Genomic DNA, 21,782 nt, shown 5'->3' with positions numbered 1-21,782 from the left:
GTCATCTGCATAAGCAAATTTGGTTCATCACATCGTTGCAACAGGAAAAGGAAGGGGAGGATCATGTGGAATTATAATGTTTTTAGGGCAAGATTCACAACCAAAAACAATGCTTCACTAACTTTTGCCTTTAAGAACCTGCAGTGTTGAGCCCTCTTTTATTCCTAATGTTACTACCTTTGTTATGAACTTTTTTTTTTTTTACTGATTTCTCTAGAAATTTATGCATTGTATTGACTGCTTTAAGGAAACAATATATATTGTATCATTTTTTTCAAGCCAACAAATATATAAGGTCTATAATTTTTACACTTTTAAAATTATTTTTAAGGTCATGAATATGTAAAATACTGTTGATATGTGTAAAAATATGCCTAAGTACCACTATATAGCTTATTTTGAAGACGTGTCTAAATTTTTGTCCAGAGTAGATCGGTTGCAGTTTCTTAGGTGTGTTTCTCAATACATAGCCTTAGTGTTTTAAAGCATATAGAAAAAATTTGAATACCGTTAACCTCATGTAGTCATTTGTTTACAGATTAATGTTTCTACAGACTAAAGGCATCACAGTCTCCTTTAAGATTGAGTAATATTAATACAATTTGAGATATATAGGGGTAGAAGCCAACAAATTCAGAGGAAAATTGTTAAATTATATAGCTGTAGATGAGGACATGAAACCCAGGTTCTAAGCTCTAAGGGGGCCATGAGCTACCATACCAAGTGCATCAGTGACTGGGCGTAGTGTTAGCAGACTTTTACAGGATGGTTGAGTGAGCTTTGGAGCCTAACTGTATGTGTACATGAATTTTTAAACTGCGTGGCACTTCCGCGTATCCATCTTTACAATGGGGGCAGTATTAAGTTTTTCTTCTCAGTTGACTGAATTATTTCGGTAGTCTTTGTCTTGCTGTCACTCTTGATGGCCACATGAGAGGAGCTAAGGTAATTTCTGGCAGCCTGGGAGTCCTTGGGAAAAACAGAAGGTGCCAGAGACCCCATTTTAGGAGGAGCCTCTGTTTTCCTCATGGACCCCCAAGAAGTGTAAGCAGACAGGTCCCTCTCAAAACCTGGGGAAGGCTCTGCTTTGTTTTGCCTTGCTTTAGCTGACCTTTTTGTTGAGGGCGGGCATCAGAAATTAGTTGGGGAAAGAGAGCTAAAGAAAGTTGCGGATAAGAAGGTGTATTTATGGTAAAGAAGGTTATGAAGGAAAGAGATTTTATGGGAGGGAGGATTTTGTATTACAAATTCTTGTCCTAAAGTAGAATGACTATTTAGAAAAAGAGAGAAATATAGGACAAGTCAGAAAGCCATAATATGGGAAAGAAAAACTTAGAACTGCTCAATCTTGTCTAGAAGTGCTGTATGTGTGATGTTTGTATAAAGGAGTTCTAATTAACTGGCTTTAAAGAGAATGAAAGCTCTCAAATACTTCTTAAGAAAAATAGAAGCTCTAATGCCTTTTAGTTCATGTGATTTCAGTAATCTTTGGGGAATAAAGGCTTTTAAAAGTTATTGGTAAAATGAAAATGTCTTCAAAATTTAGACATTTGGTGTAAATTAAGTCAGAGGTTAAATTTGCTAAGTGCTTTAATGTCATAGACCACTTCTTTGACTTTAGAAAATTGTTCAGATTATGTGGTTTGGAGCTGTTAGATTTCTATGTAAGGCCCTGGGACAGGTGGAGTTAGCCATGCCTCCTAGCTATGCTAGAAAGAGTTGACTTTATCTGCAGTTCTGTCTTGTATCCTAGACTCTGCACCTGGTACGTAATTAAAACTGCTTATACTAAAAAGAAATATTACCTGTTTTTGATTTTTTAAAAAAGGCGTGGGAAGGCCGGGCGCAGTGGCTCACGCCTGTAATCCCAGCACCTTGGGAGGCCAAGGTGGGTGGATCATGAGGTCAGGAGATCGAGACTATCCTGGCTAAAATGGTGAAACCCTGTCTCTACTAAAAACACAAAAAATTAGCCAGGCTGGTAACACACGCCTGTAATCCCAGCTACTCGGGAGGCTGAGGCAGGGAAATCACTTGAACCTGGGAGGCAGAGGTTGCAGTGAGCCGAATCGCACCACTGCAGTCCAGCCTGGCGACAGAGCAAGACTCTGTCTTAAAAAAACAACAACAACAAAGAGTTTTGTCTAAACTTAGAAATTTTAAGTATTATTTTTAGCTGAAAGAAAATAAAATTTAAGCAAGTTATGGGACATTTATGAAACTTAACTTTGTAAAGAATTGTGTGTCTGAGCGTGTTGACCAAAATGAAAAGGGTATTATTTAGTTCTTCCATAAATTAAATATTAAAACAGAAGGCACTGAAACAGAGCCAGAATCTGGGCCCATATGTCAAAATAATAGGGTTTTTTGGAACATTGATCAGTTCTTTAACAAGAAAAAATGTTATAAAGAGTTATAAATAGTTACGAAAATCTTACCTTATAGTCATTAATTAAAACTGGATAGATTCATAAAATTTTATTATTAAAAAGTAGCTTTAACATTAAAGATGTACTAACGTAAAAATAAAATTTGGTTTCATATTGAGTTCTTTCTTTTGAGAAATCCAAGAGCTCTCTCTGGGGTCTGGATCGGGACCCTTTTCTGGTAACACCACCACCCCCAGCTCTCCCCTCCTTCCTGGCCTCCACTGGGAGGCACTCCCCTGGAGGAGCAGCTGCTGCTGGCCCCCACCAGACTCAGCACAGAAGGCCAGGCCTGGGCTGCTGCTCTGCCCTCACCTACCCAGGAAATGAGATGGATACACACAGGAGAGTTGGCCTGGGTGGGGAGGGCATTCTGGAAGCCTGCCTTGGCTCTCTGGGTCTTTGGCCAGTAGCCACAGAAATGGAGACTCAGTTCCTTCAGCAATCTGTGTTTCTACTGCGTGTCTGGCACAGAGCGAAGTCCTGGGGTGGGGCCCTGGAGGTGTCCTGGAAAAAACGGGACACCTCCCTGTCCTCCAGGAGCTCACCCTAAGTCACAGAAGCCCATGTTTATGGAGGATTTACTATGCAGACTCTCTTCCTTAATTCTCACCACAACCCAGCCGTCAATGCTGTTATTATCCCCATGTGAAGTATCCAAAAAACAAGGTCCAGAGAGGGGAACAGATTTGTCGAAGCTGATCAGTGTTGGAGCTGAGAACTGGAATTCTGTTCTTTAAATTGAACCGTTTTTTAATAGGCATTGATTTTTTTTTTGTGGGTAATTTTATAGTTATGAGTTCATTTTCTTTTTTTAATTTTATTATTATTATACTTTAAGTTTTAGGGTACATGTGCACAACATGCAGGTTTGTTACATGTGTATACATGTACCATGTTGGTGTGCTGCACGCATTAACTCGTCATTTAGCATTAGGTATATCTTCTAATACTATCCCTCCCCCCTCCCCCCACCCCACAACAGTCCCCAGTGTGTGATGTTCCCCTTCCTGTGTCCATGTGTTCTCATTGTTCAGTTCCCATCTATGAGTGAGAACATGTGGTGTTTGGTTTTCTGTCCTTGCGATAGTTTGCTGAGAATGATGGTTTCCGGCTTCATCCATGTCCCTACAAAGGACATGAACTCATCATTTTTTATGGCTGCATAGTATTCCATGGTGTATATGTGTCACATTTTCTTAATCCAGTCTATCATTGTTGGACATTTGGGTTGGTTCCAAGTCTTTGCTATTGTTAATAGTGCCACAATAAACATACGTGTGCATGTGTCTTTATAGCAGCATGATTTATAATCCTTTGGGTATATACCCAGTAATGGGATGGCTGGGTCAAATGGTATTTCTAGTTCTAGATCCGTGAGGAATCTCCACACTGACTTCCACAATGGTTGAACTAGTTTACAGTCCCACCAACAGTGTGAAAGTGTTCCTATTTCTCCACATCCTCTCCAGCACCTGTTGTTTCCTGACTTTTTAATGATCGCCATTCTGACTGGTGTGAGATGGTATCTCATTGTGATTTTGATTTGCATTTATCTGATGGCCAGTGATGATGAGCATTTTTTCATGTGTCTTTTGGCTGCATAAACGTCTTCTTTTGAGAAGTGTCTGTTCATATCCTTCGCCCACTTTTTGATGGGGTTGTTTGTTTTTTTCTTGTAAATGTGGTTGAGTTCATTATAGATTCTGGATATTAGCCCTTTGTCAGATGAGTAGGTTGCGAAAATTTTCTCCCATTTTGTAGGTTGCCTGTTCACTCTGATGGTAGTTTCTTTTGCTGTGCAGAAGCTCTTTAGTTTAATTAGATCCCATTTGTCAATTTTGTCTTTTGTTGCCATTGCTTTTGGTGTTTTAGACATGAAGTCCTTGCCCATGCCTATGTCCTGAATGGTAATGCCTAGGTTTTCTTCTAGGGTTTTTATGGTTTTAGGTCTAACGTTTAAGTCTTTAATCCATCTTGAATTGATTTTTGTATAAGGTGTAAGGAAGGGATCCAGTTTCAGCTTTCTACATATGGCTAGCCAGTTTTCCCAGCACCATTTATTAAATAAGGAATCCTTTCCCCATTGCTTGTTTTTCTCAGGTTTGTCAAAGATCAGATAGTTGCAGATATGTGGCGTTATTTCTGAGGGCTCTGTTCTGTTCCATTGGTCTATATCTCGTTTTGGTACCAGTACCATGCTGTTTTGGTTACTGTAGCCTTGTAGTATAGTTTGAAGTCAGGTAGCGTGATGCCTCCAGCTTTGTTCTTTTGGCTTAGGATTGACTTGGCGATGTGGGCTCTTTTTTGGTTACATATGAACTTAAAGTAGTTTTTTCCAATTCTGTGAAGAAAGTCATTGGTAGCGACAATAATATCTTTTCTTTAGATTATCTGGATTATGAAAGCAAGCACTTTTTTCATTAAAACAATTATGTACTAGGAAAAACTGTCATAATGGTATTAATGTTGGCAATATTGATTATGAAATTCAGGGATAAATTGCTGCCTATGGTCTGTGTCTTCAGTATTGTAAGCCGCAGCCATCATGTAATTTCAGATTAATACCAATTTTGTTCCCTGATAGATGGAGCTTAAACAGTATATCCTGCTTTAAATTTCTACCTCTAGCAGATCTGTATTGGAGGGAGTTTTCCTTTGTATTTTTTAATGTATGTTATTCTGTTTCCAGTAGCTTGGAAAGTAGAGATGACTAATGTTTTAGCCTTTTCTTGGAGAAAAGGAAGAACTCTTGTTGAATATTTTCACAGATGATTGTGATTGCTTTAAATAACCTCTGTGGCAATTTAAATTAGACGGATTTAATCTCAGTAACATGCTGGTCGCATAAATGTCATGTTTTAACAGGAAAACTTACTTGTAAATCTTTAGACCTTTGTTGTCACTTAGGCTGGGGACTCACTACCCTATTTGGCATCTTACTAGTTGGGGGGACCTTTTCTGTGTACAGTGATGGGACTTTTGTGCCCTTTACTCTCATTATGCAATAGAGAGTTTGATGCAGTTAATTTGACATGTCAAAACTGGGAAGTCTGTAACCTGTTTTTGTGTTTGTTTTTATTTTTTTAAGATTTCTCTTTTTCATGTCCCTCATTACTTAGCAGATGTTCATTTGGTGGGAATTCTTATTTACATGAATGCTTGAATTTAGTGGCAAGGAAGAAAAGACTCAAATTATTGTTTTTAAAGAAAAAAACTTGCAAACTACGTATTTTTAAGAAATCAATTGAACAGAAAGGAATGCATGATGTTTTCTGAATGGCTTAGATGTGCTTTTTATTCACTGACTAACATTCACTTTTTTACAACTTGTATCAAAAGAAATGATCTTTGTTTTTCTCACAGGCAAAAACACGTTGACACTGGTGGGTTGGCTTTATTAATTAATCTTTTTCTATCAGGTTTTCTTTAATAATGTTACATTTCTAAATTGTAGCACATGTTTTAGTTAATTCTGAAATCGGTTACTTCATTTGTTAATTTATCCCTCATATCATGAATATTGTTTTTTAAATGTTCTATACAAATTTGCCTCACTTTTTTTCTTACAGCTTTTGCAGTTAATACATTCTAAACTTGAAAATGTGGTTATCAGTCAGTAATAGAAGTATCCCTGGAGGATTTCTTTAATTTTGTATTAATTTTAGTCCTAGCTACTAAAGTATGTAAGCCTTAAAGTTTAAAATGTTTTTCTTAAATTAGCTGTATACACAAACATTTTCATATACTTTGTGAAATGGGAGGAGATAGTCCATTGTTCTTGTGGGTTTTTTTCTTTAATTTCCGTATTCTGAAGCAGTGCAGATACAGGGTACGCTAATCAGTGAGCAAGGTGGGGAATGTGTACAATATAAGGAGAAGCTGTATGAATCTCAATATAAAATTATGAAGTTTGTTAACTGTAAAATATACTGTATTTATATGTAACTGTCATTCTAAAAGTTGCCATAAAAGCTGAATTGGAAGCTTCATGTCTGCATGAAATTTCCTATATTTTTAATGTGTATGATGAAATTAATTTTTCTTGAATATTAAAATCTGCCAATCGCTACAAAAAGAATACTGAAAATCTCATTTCTAGTTTTAATATATTTTTGCAGGATATTTACATGGATTTAATATTGAAAGCATTTATGTCTTGTCAATATCGCATAAGAGACAGTTACTTAGATGCAATAAAAACTTTATGTACGTGTACATAAAAACATATACTTTCCTGCATCTTTGTTAGTGAATAAGATTTTTAGAAGGGATTTTAATTAAGGTTTAAATAAGAGCTGGGGACATGTGGAATGAGAAATAGAAGGCTCATCAAAGTATATGTGCGTATGTATTCTTATATTTGTGTGTGTCTACAGTAATGCTATCTGGAAACTAGTGCAATGAAAAACAAAACACAGCAGGAGTGAACTGAGGCAAATGTGGCTCAGAAAGGTCTCTTTTGACCTTTAAACCTGACATTTCTTTGTGGATATCACACTGACTCATCCAATGTCACACGTTGAACCCAGCGATGTCTTTTCTTCCTATTGAAAACTAGCCTTCTCATCCTGTTTTCTTTAATCTATCACACAAGCTGAATTCTATCCACCCTCACTGCCATAGCGCTTACAGATATCACTGATATCATCTCTCCTTTCTGTTCACATTTTTACAGTCTCATTATTTATGTTGCTAAGCATTTTCTTACAACTGTTCGAAGCCTACAGGTTAAGATGTGGGTGGAGATATACACTAAAGACTTACTTATTAGATCTATAATGCCAGGGATGAGTTCAATATAACAAACCAGTGGAATGATTCTGCTTCTCTTCTGACTCACTCCTTAAAATGTGTATTGAACAAAGGTGAAGTAGAAAAGTTGTATTAGCATTGTTTTATTTTGCATGACTTAAAATGTGCTTTTCTAATTGATAATTTATCTAGTGCTGCCTCAGACTTGATAATTGGGTTCATCAACAGAGCCTTGAAAAGTTTGGGTAGAGACCACAAAAATGTAGTAGCTATGCATGAAGATTAGCTGATAGTTTATCCGTTAAGACTGCTTATGGATGTAAGCAATGAAAATCTAACTAACAGTAGCTAAGAGAAATAGAGATTTATGTTTTCATGTAGCATAGAGTCTGGAGGTTGGCAGCCGACAACTCTGTGATGCCATCAGCAACCCTACTTTTCTCCATTTCTTAAAATGGAAGATTCTTAGAGTGTTGCTTTTACCGTGTTGTTTTTCTCATCATGCCTCCATCTGCCATCATATCTCATCTGCCATCCAGATAGGAACAAGGGAAAAGGACTAAGGAGGAAAAAGGCAAGGAGATATGTCAGCTGATTGTCCTTTTCTGTCAGGTTAGCAGTGTCTTCCCCAAAGGCCCCATCTAGCAGATTTCTGACTATGTCTCTATGGCCAGAACACACCGTGGCACACATTCATTCTAAACTGGAAGATGGTTAGGAAAAAGGAAGGTGTGGGGGTGTGAAACCACCTGCCAAAAGTGTCACAGTTGTGACCAGTTTATTTCACAGTTTGAGATGACATGGTCATAAAGACCTTTGTCACCTTCAGAATGCAGCAAAGCATGAGAGAGTATTAGAAGGCCGCTGAGAAAGACAAACAAGTTTTAGGATTACAGAAGTATTCAACAACCAACCATGTAAGATCTGAAAGGGATGATTTTTTCAGTTCTGTGTTTGATTAAATACTCAACTGTACAGGAGCCATGGCTACATGGCAGGGATTGGGGGAAAAAAGACAAAACTTGGAAATAGCAGTTGTCAACAATGTGATCTAGCAGCCAAAAAGCTAGTTTTCTCATGCTCTGTATTAATTGAAGTGAATATTTTTTGACTCTAATTTTGAATATGCCATTTTGTTCTGATGGGTGTTTTCCTCTCCAGAATGTTAGCTGGCATGTTTGGGAATCCAGATTTGAATCAGAATTATTATAATATTGAATAACTTTTATTGGGAAAGTATTTTCCAGTGGACACTATTAAATAAGCTTAATTTTAAATTAATTTCATATGAAGTAGAAGTAAATTACTTCTAAGTATTGCTTAAATAAGCTTAATTTTTAAATTAATTTTATATGAAGTAGAAGTAAATTCTAAGTACTTCTATTTTGATTTTTAATTTATTAAGATTATTAACTTTCACAAAGAAATTTTGGGTTGTTTTTGTTTATCTTAAAGTCTGTGGATTTCAGCTCCTGCTAGTGGTTTTTTTCTCTCTATAGTTATATCTACCAGGTCTCATTCACATAGATTAGTTATTACAAATCTTGATTATTGTCAAGATTTGCTTCTTCCATCATTATTAGTTACAGATTTTATTCTGTGTGGTTTTAGGCTTCTACAATGTTACTTGGTGTTGTTTCTACCAGGTCTAATTTTTCCTGGGTCAAATTTTTTTGTGTTCTTTGAAATCAAAAGGAAGAGGTTCTCAAGTCAGTTCTTACATCTAAAGCAAACTTCATGTTTTAGTTATAATGTGTAGCATTAGCCATTTGTGTAGCATTAGCCATTTTCAGTTTTATTTTATGCTAATTCCTGCTACCATTTATTTAGCACATAGGGTTTGAGTTTGTATCATATACCAGGGACTGTACTAGCCACTGGTGATACATTGGTGAACAGAGCTTACGGTCTGCCTGGGGAGACAAAGAAAATAAAATGCTTTTGTAATAACAATAAAATTTCAAGTAGTGTTAAATGTCGGGGAGAAAATGAAGCGATCCAGGGAGATCTCTCTAACGAGAGGCAATTTAAGCAGAGACCTGAATATGCTCTTTACTCACATAGTTTCATGGTTCACTCAGGTGGAGGGAGTGAAATGTAAAAAGGGCATGAGTTGAAAACACGCTGGGTGTATTTGGAGAACAGCAAGAAAGGCAGCGTTAGGCAGAGTGCATTAGCAGAAGAAGTGTAGGAAATGAAGAGGTTGGCAGGGGCAGAACATAAGGGGCCATTTAGGCCACGGATAGGACTTCAGAATTACTCAGTTGTGGCAAGAAGCATTTGGTAGGTTTTGAAGGATGCTCTCCGGCGTCACGTCCGTGAGCCTTCCCCGCTGTTCACGGCTCTGTTGAAGACAGTGCTCTGCTGTCCCAGGATTCACGGTCCACTGGACTAAGCACTGGTCAGCCAGGGGAGGAGGAGCCAACACAAAGAGTTTCAGTGGATGAGTAGCTAGGAGTTCACCAAAGTGGGGAAAGGTCATCCCGGCAGAGAGGGCAGCATAGGCAGAGCCTCGGAGGAGGGAGGGGCTGAGGGGAACTGGGGAGCCCTGGGTCCTCTGCCCCACAGGCTCCTGGCCCCTCACGGCCGCCCTTCTTGCTCCTCTTTGCGGCTCCATCCTCATCTCCCTGATCTTAGAGACCAGGGCTCTTCCCTTTAACTTCTCTCTCATCTCCACCCACTCCCTGGGGACCCCCACCCAGACCCACAGCTCCAATCCTGTCCACCTCCCAGTCTTTCTCCCCTGGTCTCTCTCCCTTGAATCCAGACTAGCTGTTCATTGCAGAGCCTGAGTCCTCAAGAGCAGCTCTTGGATACCCCATAGACGTGGGAGACTGGCACATCCACGTCCCCGCTGCCTCCTACCATCTCATTGGCTCCTCTCTTTCTTTCCTGTTTCACGTGTTCCATCAGCAATACCTTGAAAATGAAGCCAGAATCCATCCGCACCCACCCCTCCACTGAGACCAGCCCTCCTTGTCCGTCGTCTTTGGCCAGGATGGAGGCAGCCGCCTCCGCATGTCTCCCTGATGCCAGCCTGTGTCCCCGACAGTGGCAGGGCGATCTTTTAAAAACATTAAGTCAAGACGTGCCGATGGTCTCCTTTGCACTTAGGAATCAAAATGCTTTCCTTGGCCAACAACATGATCTGACCCCACCCCACCCCACTGTCCCTCTGTCCTCATCTCCCGACACTGGCACTTGGCTGCAGCCGCACCAGCCCCGCTGCTGTTCCTCCAACCAGACCTCTCCCCTCCGGGATACCAGCAGGGCTCATGCCTCCCTTCCACAGCCCCTGCTCAGGGTCACCCGATCAAAGGGGCCTTCTCTGACCAAGGTTTACAAAATAGAAGCAGCCACCTACTCCCGTCACTCTCCCTTTGTCCTCCTTCAGCTGCCTTGTCACGTGCGTCGCCGCCTGACATAACGTTTGCTTTGTGGCTTTGTGCCTGTCTCCTCTGCTGGATGGAAACCCCAAGAGAGTTGGGATTGGTGTTTCTTGTGCTCAGCTGTGACCCCAGCATATAGAACAGTGCCTGACACATAGTAGGTGCTCAGTACATCCATGTTGCATGAATGAATCTTCCTGCCCAGTGCCTTGTGCACAGAAGGCACCTAGACAGTGTCCGATCAATGAACTGCATTAGTACCGTTAGTAACAGTAGCTCCCATTTGTTGAGGGCTCACTGAGCTAAGCAGCTGTAACAAATTGTGCCATTTAGCCTCCCCAGCTGCACTGCAGCTTGGCCATCCCGAGCCTCATTTTATGAAGGAGACACCGAGGAGGCTCGGAGAGAGATTCCTGGGAAACGCACAGCAGCTGAGCTGGAATTGGAACTAAGGTCTGGTGAACTCCAAAGCCGACATCCTTCTACTGGGAAGAGCAACTTCTCTGCCTTTACTTCTCTCCCTGTGAGAGCTAAACCTGAGATGATGCCACTCTATGCTGGGTGCATAGCTGCCCTGTGGTTGTGGGTTCTCTGTGCAAGGCAGGTCTCACCCATCCCCAGGGCAGAACCTCGGGGGTCCCCGAAAGCACCTGAGATCTGGCCCGCAGGTGTCAGTGAAACAAGTCCTGGTCTGGGTCCAGGAGCCTCCTGAAACTCAGCCTGGCTTCTGATCTGCCATTGGCCCCTTCGTGGGCTACCAGGCAGGGGTTTAAACGAGGTGAGGGTGCCAGTCTTTGTTGGGGTGCATGGTTGGTTTTGCTCTCGGGGTTTGTCTTTTCCCCTGCACCATTTGTGAAGGTCTTTCGCAGCCTTGAATCTTTCCAGAGGCGGCAGGTGTACTCATCTCTTCCACCTGGTGGCTCCCCACCTCCCTCTGCAAACCACTCCCCACAAGAGGAGGGCCCGGCGGAACAGAAGGTAAAAACACAACACCCACGCTTAGTTTTCATGAGTTTACGTCGAACACCTCCTAGCTGTACTCTACTCTAGCAAACCCGCAGAGGGGTGAGCTGCGTAGTCTTCGAATCAGAGCTGAGTTCAGATCCTGTCTACGGGCCAGTGGGCAACTGCAGGTAAGCCAGTAGCTCTCCTGAGTCTCAGTGTTCCCATCAGTACAATGGACACAAGTAGCCTTTAGGTTGTGAGATGATTGTAAGGACTGGAACAGAGCCCGGCCTGTGGCAGATGCCTCAGGAAATGCTAACTGTGATGATTGTTGCGACCATTATTTGAAGAGTAAAAAATAGGAAAAGAAAAGCCGCTACGGATCCCACTCACACGCAGCTACGACTGCTTTGCGTTTTTCTCCCTTCTAATGCACACCTGCTTTTGCGCGTCTCTAATGATGTGCCTTGATTTTATTCTCCTATTGAATCAGCGATGACCCTGCGATTTTACCTGACCTTTCTAAATACCATTTCAGCGGCCACCGAGTTGTCCGGATTCCATGTGTGGGATTCATGCAGTCATTTCCCTACAGCGGGGCATTTATACTGCATGTAATCTTTTTAGTAATACGATGACAACACCAATCCCAGCTCTCCTGGGGGCAGGAGGAGGAGACATACTCCAGAAAACAGCAGACACCTTTGTGAGTTTGTGGCCTTTCCTTTTCTGGAATGATTTCCTCTGGATAGATGCCAGGCAGGGAGATTCCTGAGTCCAAGGGGGTGACAGTTTTATGGGTCTCGATTTCAGCACCAGCCTCATTCCCAAAGGGCTGGTGGAGTGAGGCAGCTTTTGAGGGCACTGGATTCGGGGCACCCTCTCCAGTATGGGGTGCCCCCATTTCTATACAGTTTGCATTTCTTGAGATGGAGTCTCATTCTGTCGCCCAGGCTGGAGTGCAGTGGTGTGATCTTGGCTCACTACAGCCTCTCTCTGCCTCCCAGGTTCAAGTGATTCTCCTTTCTTGGCTTCCCGAGTAGCTGGCATTACAGGCGCCCACCACCACGCCTGGCTAATTTTTGTATTTTTAGTGGAGACAGGGTGGGTGGTGGGGGAGGTTCACTGTGTCAGCCAGGCTGGTCTCCGAACTCCTGACCTCAAGCAATCCACCTGCCTCGGCCTCCCAAAGTGCTAGAACTACAGGCGTGAGGCACCGCGTCCAGCCTGTTTGCATTTCTTTGATGGTTTTTGAGATAAACCACTTTCATTTGTTAACTGTATTTCCTCTCGTGAGTTGCCCATTTATTTTACTCCACCCCCAGGACAGTTGAGGTTTGAAGCCATTTTCATGAAGCAACATTTATCCCCCACGTTTCAGTTCCTTGGTGTTCTTGTCTGTGTACATCCCTCATTCTGTTTACTTAATACATTTTTAACTGACTTGAAATCAAGTCAAATTTGTAGAAAACTCAGATTTGCTCTAAGCAATATCATCGCTGATTTAAGAGTTGTATTTTTCCTAATTTGCATTAAAACAAGTAAACATATCCAGTATGAGATGGGGCTGCATCACACTGACTCAAGAGAGTTCAAGCTGTAGGAATTTTGGGAGCCTGTTGTTAAACACAGCCACTATTGCAAATTATATAAACATGCAATTAAATACATTGTATTGAACAGAGGTAATACATACTCAAAATGTATCACTTCTTAGTTCTTTTGCTACATTTACCTATCATCTGTGCTGGCAAGGTTATTTGCATCTGTTGTGTCTGTATGGTGGAAATTTATTAAGTGGTGACTACTTGTATCTCTTCCTGTCTTTGATTCAGTGACAGCACCAGTATTTACGCTCGGGAAATTGACAGCACGTGCTACAAATCAGAGTTTTCTCCCTCTGGAGAACAGGTTGTTAAATGTTGACCAGCTTGCCCCTGTGCATAAGTGTTCAAATGCTAGTGTATTTATCTCCTCACATAATCTCACTTGCTCCAGTGGTCTGTGAACACTACTGTGGGAAGCCAATGTGTTTCTTTTTTCTTTTCTTTTTTTTCTTTTTGGAGACAGTCTTGTTCTGTTGCCCAGGCTGGAGTGCCGTGGTGCGATCTCAGCTCACTGCAACCTCCACCTCCGGGGTTCAAGCAATTCTCTTGAATTAGCCTCCTGAGTAGCTGGGACTACAGACCTGTGTCACCACACCCAGCTAACTTTCTGTATTTTTAGTAGAGACAGAGTTTTGCCACGTTGCCCAGGCTGGTCCTGAACTCCTAAGCCCAGGCAATCCGCCTGCCTTGGCCTCCCAGAGTTCTGGGATTACAGCCAATGTGTTTCTTATGTGCACAGGAAAACAGCAACCTAATGTTTCCAGGGACACCCACAGACAGGCACCCAGGGCGATGATAGCCAGGACAAGAGGCAAGGTGGTCCTGGGAGGCCAATTCATCAGCCCTTTGCAGCTCCTGGCCCTTCCCCAGGCAAAGAAAGCAGATGAGGAGGCCGAAAGACTGATCTGACCTCCGTGCCACACATCTGGGTCTTTAGTCCCCCCAAGGAAACGTCTTAGGCATCCTCTTTGCAAAGCTTCCAGCCCTGTCCTGCTTTTCTTTCTCTGGAACAATCCGTGTTCATTGTATGGATGCAGCCCAGACAAGATTAATTTACTCATTTATTCAGCAAGCATTTATTGAAGGCTGGCCGTAGGCCATGCCGCGTGTTAAGTTCTGGGAACAGAAAGACAAAAAAGGCCAGGCCCCTGCCCTTAAGGAACTCTGTCCAGTGATGTGTAGAAAATCCATTCTGACCCTGCCCTGGCTTTGCTTGGAAAAATCAATGTCTTCAGCCAAAGGGTGAATATTCCTTAGGGAAGGTTTTGGAAAAGTCATTTTGAAGAGGCACTTCTAGAATGAACTAGACCTAACACAGCTATTTGGAGTTTAGATGGAGATTTTGTGTCTCTGGGCCCAGGGTGCAGCTGTCAGGAGAAAGGAAACAGCTCCCATTAGGAGCCCAAGCTCCTAACAGGCAACATGGCACACCTGTTTCTGGGGACGTGCTGCCTGCAGCGGGCATCTTACAAGCCCCCTCCTGGGAGGTGGCTCCTATAATCCTGCCCCGGAAGAGACCCGCGTGGCTCCACCCAGCCAGTTTGGAATCTTTAGTTTGGAATCTTAATTAAAATGCCTTAACGCAGCAACTACTGTGCAAACAAAGATGCCAGCTTGCGTGAGTAATTAACAAAAAGACGCTTCCACAAAGGCCCAGGTGAATCTGGGGGCTCGTGAATACGCCTCCAGCTCAGAGGCTGCTCCTTTATGTTGATTTGACAGGAATTCCACTTAATCACCCTCTGAGCTGCAGCAAGAGTAATGTGGAAGACGCGAGATCCTACAGAGAGGAGTGTGGTTGGGCCGGTGGCAGTAATGTTCCCAAAAACCAATTTAGTTCAGTGACCCTTAATGGGCCCAGCTCCCAGATCAGGCACTGCAGGGTGGGGCAAGTGGATAAGGAATTTATTTCCTTTGTCCTGGGTCAGGGAGGACTATGGATTCTACTTTATTTCACCCACTATTTCACCCCTGGTCTTAACTGCTAAAATACCTGCTTCCAAGAATAGATGCTTGTTGGAACTGCAGACGTCTCCCAACACGGGCATTTCGGCTCCCGTGACAATGATGGAAACCGAGGCTTGCCCGTGGGCTGGAGGATGCTCGCTCCCTGCTCCTCCTAAGCACCGTCCAGATCGGACTTCCTGTAGCTTCTAAGGGGTCCCAGAGGTGCTGGGGGAGAGGGGGACTTGTCACCTGACCCCTTCAGCCGTGAGCTCTGGGATTGAGTCTGTCACACCCTGTGTGCTGGGACCTACGGCTTCAGGAATCGCTGGGTGCTGCAGCTGGGGGCAGGCAGGAACAATGGGCTCTGGGGCCGCCTGGGCTGGGCTTGGACCGGACTCCGTGCTGCCCAGCTGTGTGTCCTTGGGCAAGTTGCATCACCTCTCTGGGCTGCCATGTGGATGTAGGCACAGAGAGCAAATGAGCTCCACCTGGCAAGGGGATGAAATCAGAGGGGATGTGGGGAGGGCCTAGCTCCGTACTCCGCTCATAGGAAGAACCCCCAAAGTCTATCCTCTTTTCTTGTCTCTGTCCACTCTGTGTGTGGAAAGAGGTCCCTGCCAAGCGTGCCTCCTTCACTTACCCCTCATTTGAGGTTGCTCAGGGCTTACTCACAGCTTGTCTAGCCAGACAAGAAGGAGGAGATACTGTGCTAGGTGGTTCTGTTGCCAGCCTGGTTGCTCTGGGCTCGTTGTATCCCAGGATCTGCTTCCCGGTGAGCTGGCTTGAGCTGTCTGAGACGTGGGAGGCGGAAGCGGCTGTCACTGGTGCTGGTGGTCTCACTGGGCAGAGCCAGAGAAGCACAGCTGCAGGGGTGTCCCAGGGCTCCCAGTGTCCTTGGGTTTTCCATCTGTGTCTGGCTCTCCTTCCCGACCACCTACCCTAGGCTGGCAGACCCTGTGACCCTCCCTGTGATCTCTTGGAGGCAGGATGGGCCTGGCTTCAGCCTCCATGCGAGCTGGCCCCGCTCTCTCCCTGCCCAGCACTGCGGAGCGTCCCTTCTCTGAGCCTCCACGGTCCCTTCTGGACCTTCACTGCCCAGCTCCTCCTACAAGTGTGGAAACTCAAGTCCTTATCATAAATGCCCTATTCCATGAAGCCATGGCTGCTGTGTCCCTGCCTGGACTCTGACCAATACTGTTGTCACTTGTTTCTAAGGGACATGTCCTTGTCACCCTTCAGGGCCTCAAGCCCAGATGTGTCCCCCGATCAGTGTGTACGCTTACTGGAGTGCCGCTGACGTCCTCCCCAAAGCCATGATTCAATCCCTGGGACATCTCACCGTTGACAGCATCCAAGAGGGAGGGAGCTTCGGGACTCCAGTCTGCAGGGTTGTCGAGATGGGAGAGTGGTTCCGTTCGTTTAAGGGAAACATGGAGCCAGCGAAGCACGGGGACTTGGTCAGGTGGGGGTTTTGGTGAGAGGCCACTACCACACAGCTCACAGCAGCCAACCAGCAGGAATGGAGGCAGGGAGGCCCGGGGGGAGGCCATCACTGTGCCCCAGGCAGTGGGGGGACACAAGGCAGTATTTTGGAGGTAGTGCAGGCAGGAGCCACAGAGGAATTGGATGTTGGAGGGGCACACTGAGGACGAGGACAACTCGAGGGTCTGAACCAAGAGACACGTGGTGTTGCTGCTGACCAGGAAGGACAGTGCTGGAGGGGCGGGGCTGGGCACAGGGTCGTGCATTGTTACCACCATGGGACGCCAGCACCAGGGGAGAGGTGGAGAGGGCAGAGGTGGGTCCTGAGGGGCTAGGACAGGTCACAGGTGAGCAGGAGTCTGTGTGGCATGGTGTGTGCATTGTGTGATGTCTGTGTGGCATGGGGTGTGTGTGTTGTCTGGCATGGTGTGTATATGTATATTGTGTGGGTCTATGTGATGTGTGTGTGTGTGTTGTCTGGCATAGTGTGTGTATATTGTGTGAGTCTGTGGCATGGTGTGTGTGTGTGCATGGTGTATCTGGCATGGTGTAGTGTGTGTAGTGTGTCTGTGTTGCATGGTGTGTGTGTATATTGTGGGTCTGCAGCATGGTGTGTGACGTGTGTCTATGTGTATGTTGTGGGTATGCAGCATGGTGTGTGGCATGGGGTGTGTGTGTATGTGTATTGTGGGTGTCTGTGGTGTGTGTGTGTATATTGTGAGGGTCTATGTGGTGTGTGTGTGTGATATTGTGTGGATCTGTGTGGCATGGTGTGTGTGTTTATGTGTATTGTGGGTGTCTGTGTGGCATGGTGTACGTGTGTGTATTGTGGATGTTTACTGTCCTGGGCAGTAGAAAGGACGTTGGGGAAGCAGCCCCAGCATCAGGGGCGGGCCAGGAATGCAGAATGCATGGAAGCTGGTCAGGTCAGAGCCCGGGCTGAAGGAAGCACGGAGATGCAAGGGCACCAGGGCCTGTGGGACCAGGAGCCGATGATCAGGGCCACAGTGCACACAGCCTTGGAGGTAAAGGACACATTCATTTCATAAGGATTAAAAAGCATGGGCTAAGTCTGGGCCCCAGGCCAGGACTGGGGATACAGAGTGGATCAGTCCCCATCCCTGCCCTGAGGTGCTTACCTACACCCATTCACCTCACAGGTTTCCCCACTCTGGCCCCTTGGCGAGCTCCTACTCATTCCTCAAAACCTCACTGAGGTCATGCTCCTTCCGGAGGCCTCTCCCCATCCTCTAAAAGACCCCTCTGCCTGCTGCCCACTTCCAGCACAGTCAGAGAGCCCCGTGGCCTGTTTCCACTGGACTGGGTGAGGGCAGGACTGGTCTGAGTCTTCTGGGGGGGGGGTGCCAGTGCTAGAGCAGAGTCCTGGGCTGGGAGTCCCGGCACCTCATTCCACTCCTACACCCACAGACTCACTGTTTAACCTCGGGCAGGCCACGTCCCTCCTCGGCCTCACTTTCCCCTTGTGTAAGATGAGGGAAGGGACTGAGGCTTCTAAGCCATCTCTCAGCTTAAAACCTCTTTGACTTTCTATCTGGCTAATGGAGATGCTGATCAGGGGTAAGAATGGATTTGAAAAACGCTTTGAAAAATTCATAGCAGGAGGCAAAGGAGAAAGAGTCTTTATTTTCGCAGAGTGGGAGGCAGGAGTTACGGACAGAGGCTGCCGATGAAAAGGACAGCATCTCAGAGCACTTTGTGGTATTTAATGTCTAATGCATCCTCCCGTTAAAGCAGTGGCATCAAATATTTACCAAAGCAGTATTAAAAATTAACCTTTACCATGGGGATGTATAAAGTCCCTAAGTTCCCCGAGAAGTGTCTGAACGTCAGGAGGGTAAAGCGACAGGAAGGCAGGCTACAAGTGAGGTGTGAATAATGGAAGCCTCTAAAACTGACACAGCTCCCTGTTGACCCCACTCCCAACGCCAGGGCAGCCTCCGGCCCTGTCTCTGCAGAGGCTCCCAGCCCCTCAGAGACTCCCAGAAGGCCCGCAGGATAAGGACAGGCCCTCAGCTGGGCATCCACAGCTTTCCATGGCCTGGCCCTGCCTCTCGGGGCAGCTGGGATCTGTAGGATGGAAAGGAATGAGCCTGTCGGAGTTGGAAGAGACCAGGGGAGGAAGTGGGAAGTAAGTGGTCCAGGCACTGGAAATAGCATGTGCAGAGGCACTGAGGCAGAGACAGCCGCACATCCATCCATCTGAAGGGCAGTCAGGTGGCATGAGTGTGGGGGAGGAAGTGCAGGAGGGGACGGGTGGCAGATGCAAGTAGGTCTGACTGTGCAGGGCCATGGTGAGATGTGGGCTTCTTAGTCCAGGGACAAGGGTGCCCTCGAGGAGAGTGACAGGAGGCACTTGCCTTTGGGAAGGGAGCTGGGAGTCCACCGGAGAGGCTGCCACTGTCTCACGAGCTGCAGCCATGTCTGCGGCTTGGCCGAGGGTGGTGGTGGGGAGGGGCCGGCACCAGGGAGTGGAGTCCATGGGATTGGCCAGGGCCTGGGGTGGGGGCTGAGAAGGAGGTGGGGGTCCAAGGAGGATGTCTGGGCCCCTGGGCTGAGCAGCCTGGGAGATTTTCCAAGATGGGGACCTTGGGGCAGATGTGGCTTTGGGCTCAGCAGCATGGAGTGTCTTGAGTTTGAGATGCCCCGAGAGACCACTGCAATGGGCCTGGGGAGGAGCAGCCCCCACCCGTGGCAGGAGGAACCCCAGGGCGAATGGGGTCTGGAAGCCGCGAGAGGATCAGGGCAGCCGAGGGGCATGGGATCTGGCCTCGGATGTGGGCTGCGTGTCCTGCCCTCCGCCTGTCGCTCCTGCGATGTCCCTTGCTTCCCATGCCCACGTCCCCATCCCAGGTACAATCCGTGGGCTCCAGCAACACAGCAGGCACTGTCCTGTCTGCCAGAAGCCGCTGGGCATAGCTGGCACCAAATAGCTTTGTCATCTCCACCCCACCGCTTGCCTTTTACTATAGCTGGGTTGCCCGCCAGCTTCTTCCTGAAGGAAACAAAGTTTCCGTGTGTCATTATTTAGATTATGCGGCGCCCTATAAAGCACAAAATAATTCTCATTGTCCTCAAGCAGGATCTTTATTTTGGTATTTCCTGGAGACCAGGGGAGCTGACTGGGGCGCGAGGGAGTTTGCAGAGCACGGCCATTTCCCCCGTGCCGCCATCTCGCCAGCGGCGTTTTTCTTGCCATTTTGCTGGAAACTCAGGCTCAGAGAGGCCAAAGCACGTGTCCAAAGTCAAACAGCCAGGGAGAGGCTCTCCCAGAGCACCTACAATGTGCCTTGGTGCCCCAACACACACACAGCCCCCAACACACAGCCCCCAATACACACACCAGAGCCCCCAACACATACACCAGAGCCCCCCAACACACACACCAGAGCCTCCAACACACAGACACACCAGAGCCTCGAACACACACAAGAGCCTCCAACACACACACACCAGAGCCTTCAACACATACACACCAGAGCCTCCAACACACACACACCAGAGCCTCCAACACACACACACACCAGAGCCCCCAACACACACACCAGAGCCCCCAACACACACACCAGTGCCCCCAACACACACACACCAGAGCCTCCAACACATACACACCAGAGGCCTCCAACACACACACACACAGGAGAGCCCCCAACACTCCTACACAGCAGACCCTCCAACACCTACACACCAGAGCCCCCAACACACACACACACACCAGAGCCTCCCAAAACACACACCAGAGCCCCCAACACACACACCAGAGCCCCCAACACATACACCAGAGCTTCCAACACACACACGAGCCCCCAACATACACACCAGAGCCCCCAATACACACAGAGCCCCCAACACACACACCAGAGCCCCCTAACACACACACCAGAGCCCCAATACAGAGCCCCCAACACACACACCAGAGCTTCCTGACACAACAGTTTCCTACACACACACACACACCACAGCCCCCAACACACACAGAGCCCAAAACATACACACCAGAGCCCCCAACACAGACACACACAGCCCCCAACACATACACACCAGAGCCAACACACAGTGGAGCCTCCAACACACACACACACACACCCCAGAGCCTCCAGAGTCCCCAACATATACACCAGAGCCCCCCAACACACCAGAGCCCCAATACACAGAGCCCCCAACACACACCAGTCCCCAACACAGAGCCCCCAACATATACACCAGAGCCCCCCAACACACACACCAGAGCCCCCAACAGAGCCCCCAACATATACACCAGAGCCCCCCAACACACACACCAGAGCCCCCCAACACAGAGACCCCAACATATACACCAGAGCCCGCAATACACACAGGGCCCAACACACATACCAAAGCCCTCCAACACACACACAACAGAGTCCCCAATACGCACAGAGCCCCCCTGACACATCAGAGCCTCCAACACACATACCACAGCCCCCCACACACACACCAGAGCCTCCAACACACACACTCTAGAGCCCCCAACACACACAGACCAGAGCCCCCAACACACAGACACCAGAGCCCCCAACACACACACCAGAGCCCCCAACACACACACCAGAGCCTCCCAACACACACACACCAGAGCCCCCAACACACACACCAGAGCCCCCAACACACACACCAGAGCCTCCCAACACATACACACCAGAGCCTCCAACACACACACACCAGAGCCCCCAACACACACACACCAGAGCCCCCAACACACACACCAGAGCCTCCAACACACACACCAGAGCCTCCAACACACACACCAGAGCCCCCAACACACACACACACCAGAGCCCCCAACACACACACACCAGAGTCCCCAACACACACCAGAGCCCCCAACACACACACACCAGAGCCCCCAACACACACACACCAGAGCCCCCAACACACACCCCAGAGCCCTCCAACACACACACCAGAGCCAACACACACACCAGAGCCCCCAAGACACACACCAGAGCCCGCAACACACACACCAGAGCCCCTCAACAGACACAGAGCCCCCCCAAGAAACACACACACACCCCCACTGCCTCGTCCCCTCCCCATCTGCATCCATCTAGATGGCCCAGCAAGATATTTTGCTAAAGACAAAGTAAAAATTCCCTCAAGCATGTCCGCGGCCCCGCTGTGAATGTTTTCTCCCGACTCAATAGACATACATTTCTTGAGTGTTTTCTGTGTGCCAAGTGTTGTTACATGCAGTG

The 21,782-nt window shown here is 46.7% G+C and overlaps 1 protein-coding gene and 1 long non-coding RNA gene across 6 annotated transcripts in view; both read left to right on the top strand.

The window, feature by feature from the left end:
- SLC5A4 (solute carrier family 5 member 4) overlaps nt 1-21,782 on the top strand; it is a 136,600-nt gene that overhangs the window by 3,954 nt on the left and 110,864 nt on the right. The gene's annotated exons all lie outside the window — the stretch shown is intronic.
- The window catches only part of LOC107985561 (uncharacterized), a 29,247-nt gene continuing 12,191 nt past the window's right edge, over nt 4,727-21,782 (top strand). Inside the window, exon 1 of one of the 2 annotated variants that reach the window (XR_001755500.2) lies at nt 4,727-8,098. This is a non-coding gene — a long non-coding RNA (uncharacterized LOC107985561). Of the gene's footprint in view, nt 8,099-17,317; nt 17,577-21,782 lie in introns of those variants that run through there. The other variant, XR_001755499.2, reaches the window with a different exon arrangement.

This window comes from Homo sapiens, chromosome 22, assembly GCF_000001405.40.
Source record: "Homo sapiens chromosome 22, GRCh38.p14 Primary Assembly".
Taxonomy (NCBI): domain Eukaryota; kingdom Metazoa; phylum Chordata; class Mammalia; order Primates; family Hominidae; genus Homo; species Homo sapiens.
Note: the sequence above shows the minus strand (reverse complement) of the source record. Positions and strands in the feature narration are given on the sequence as shown.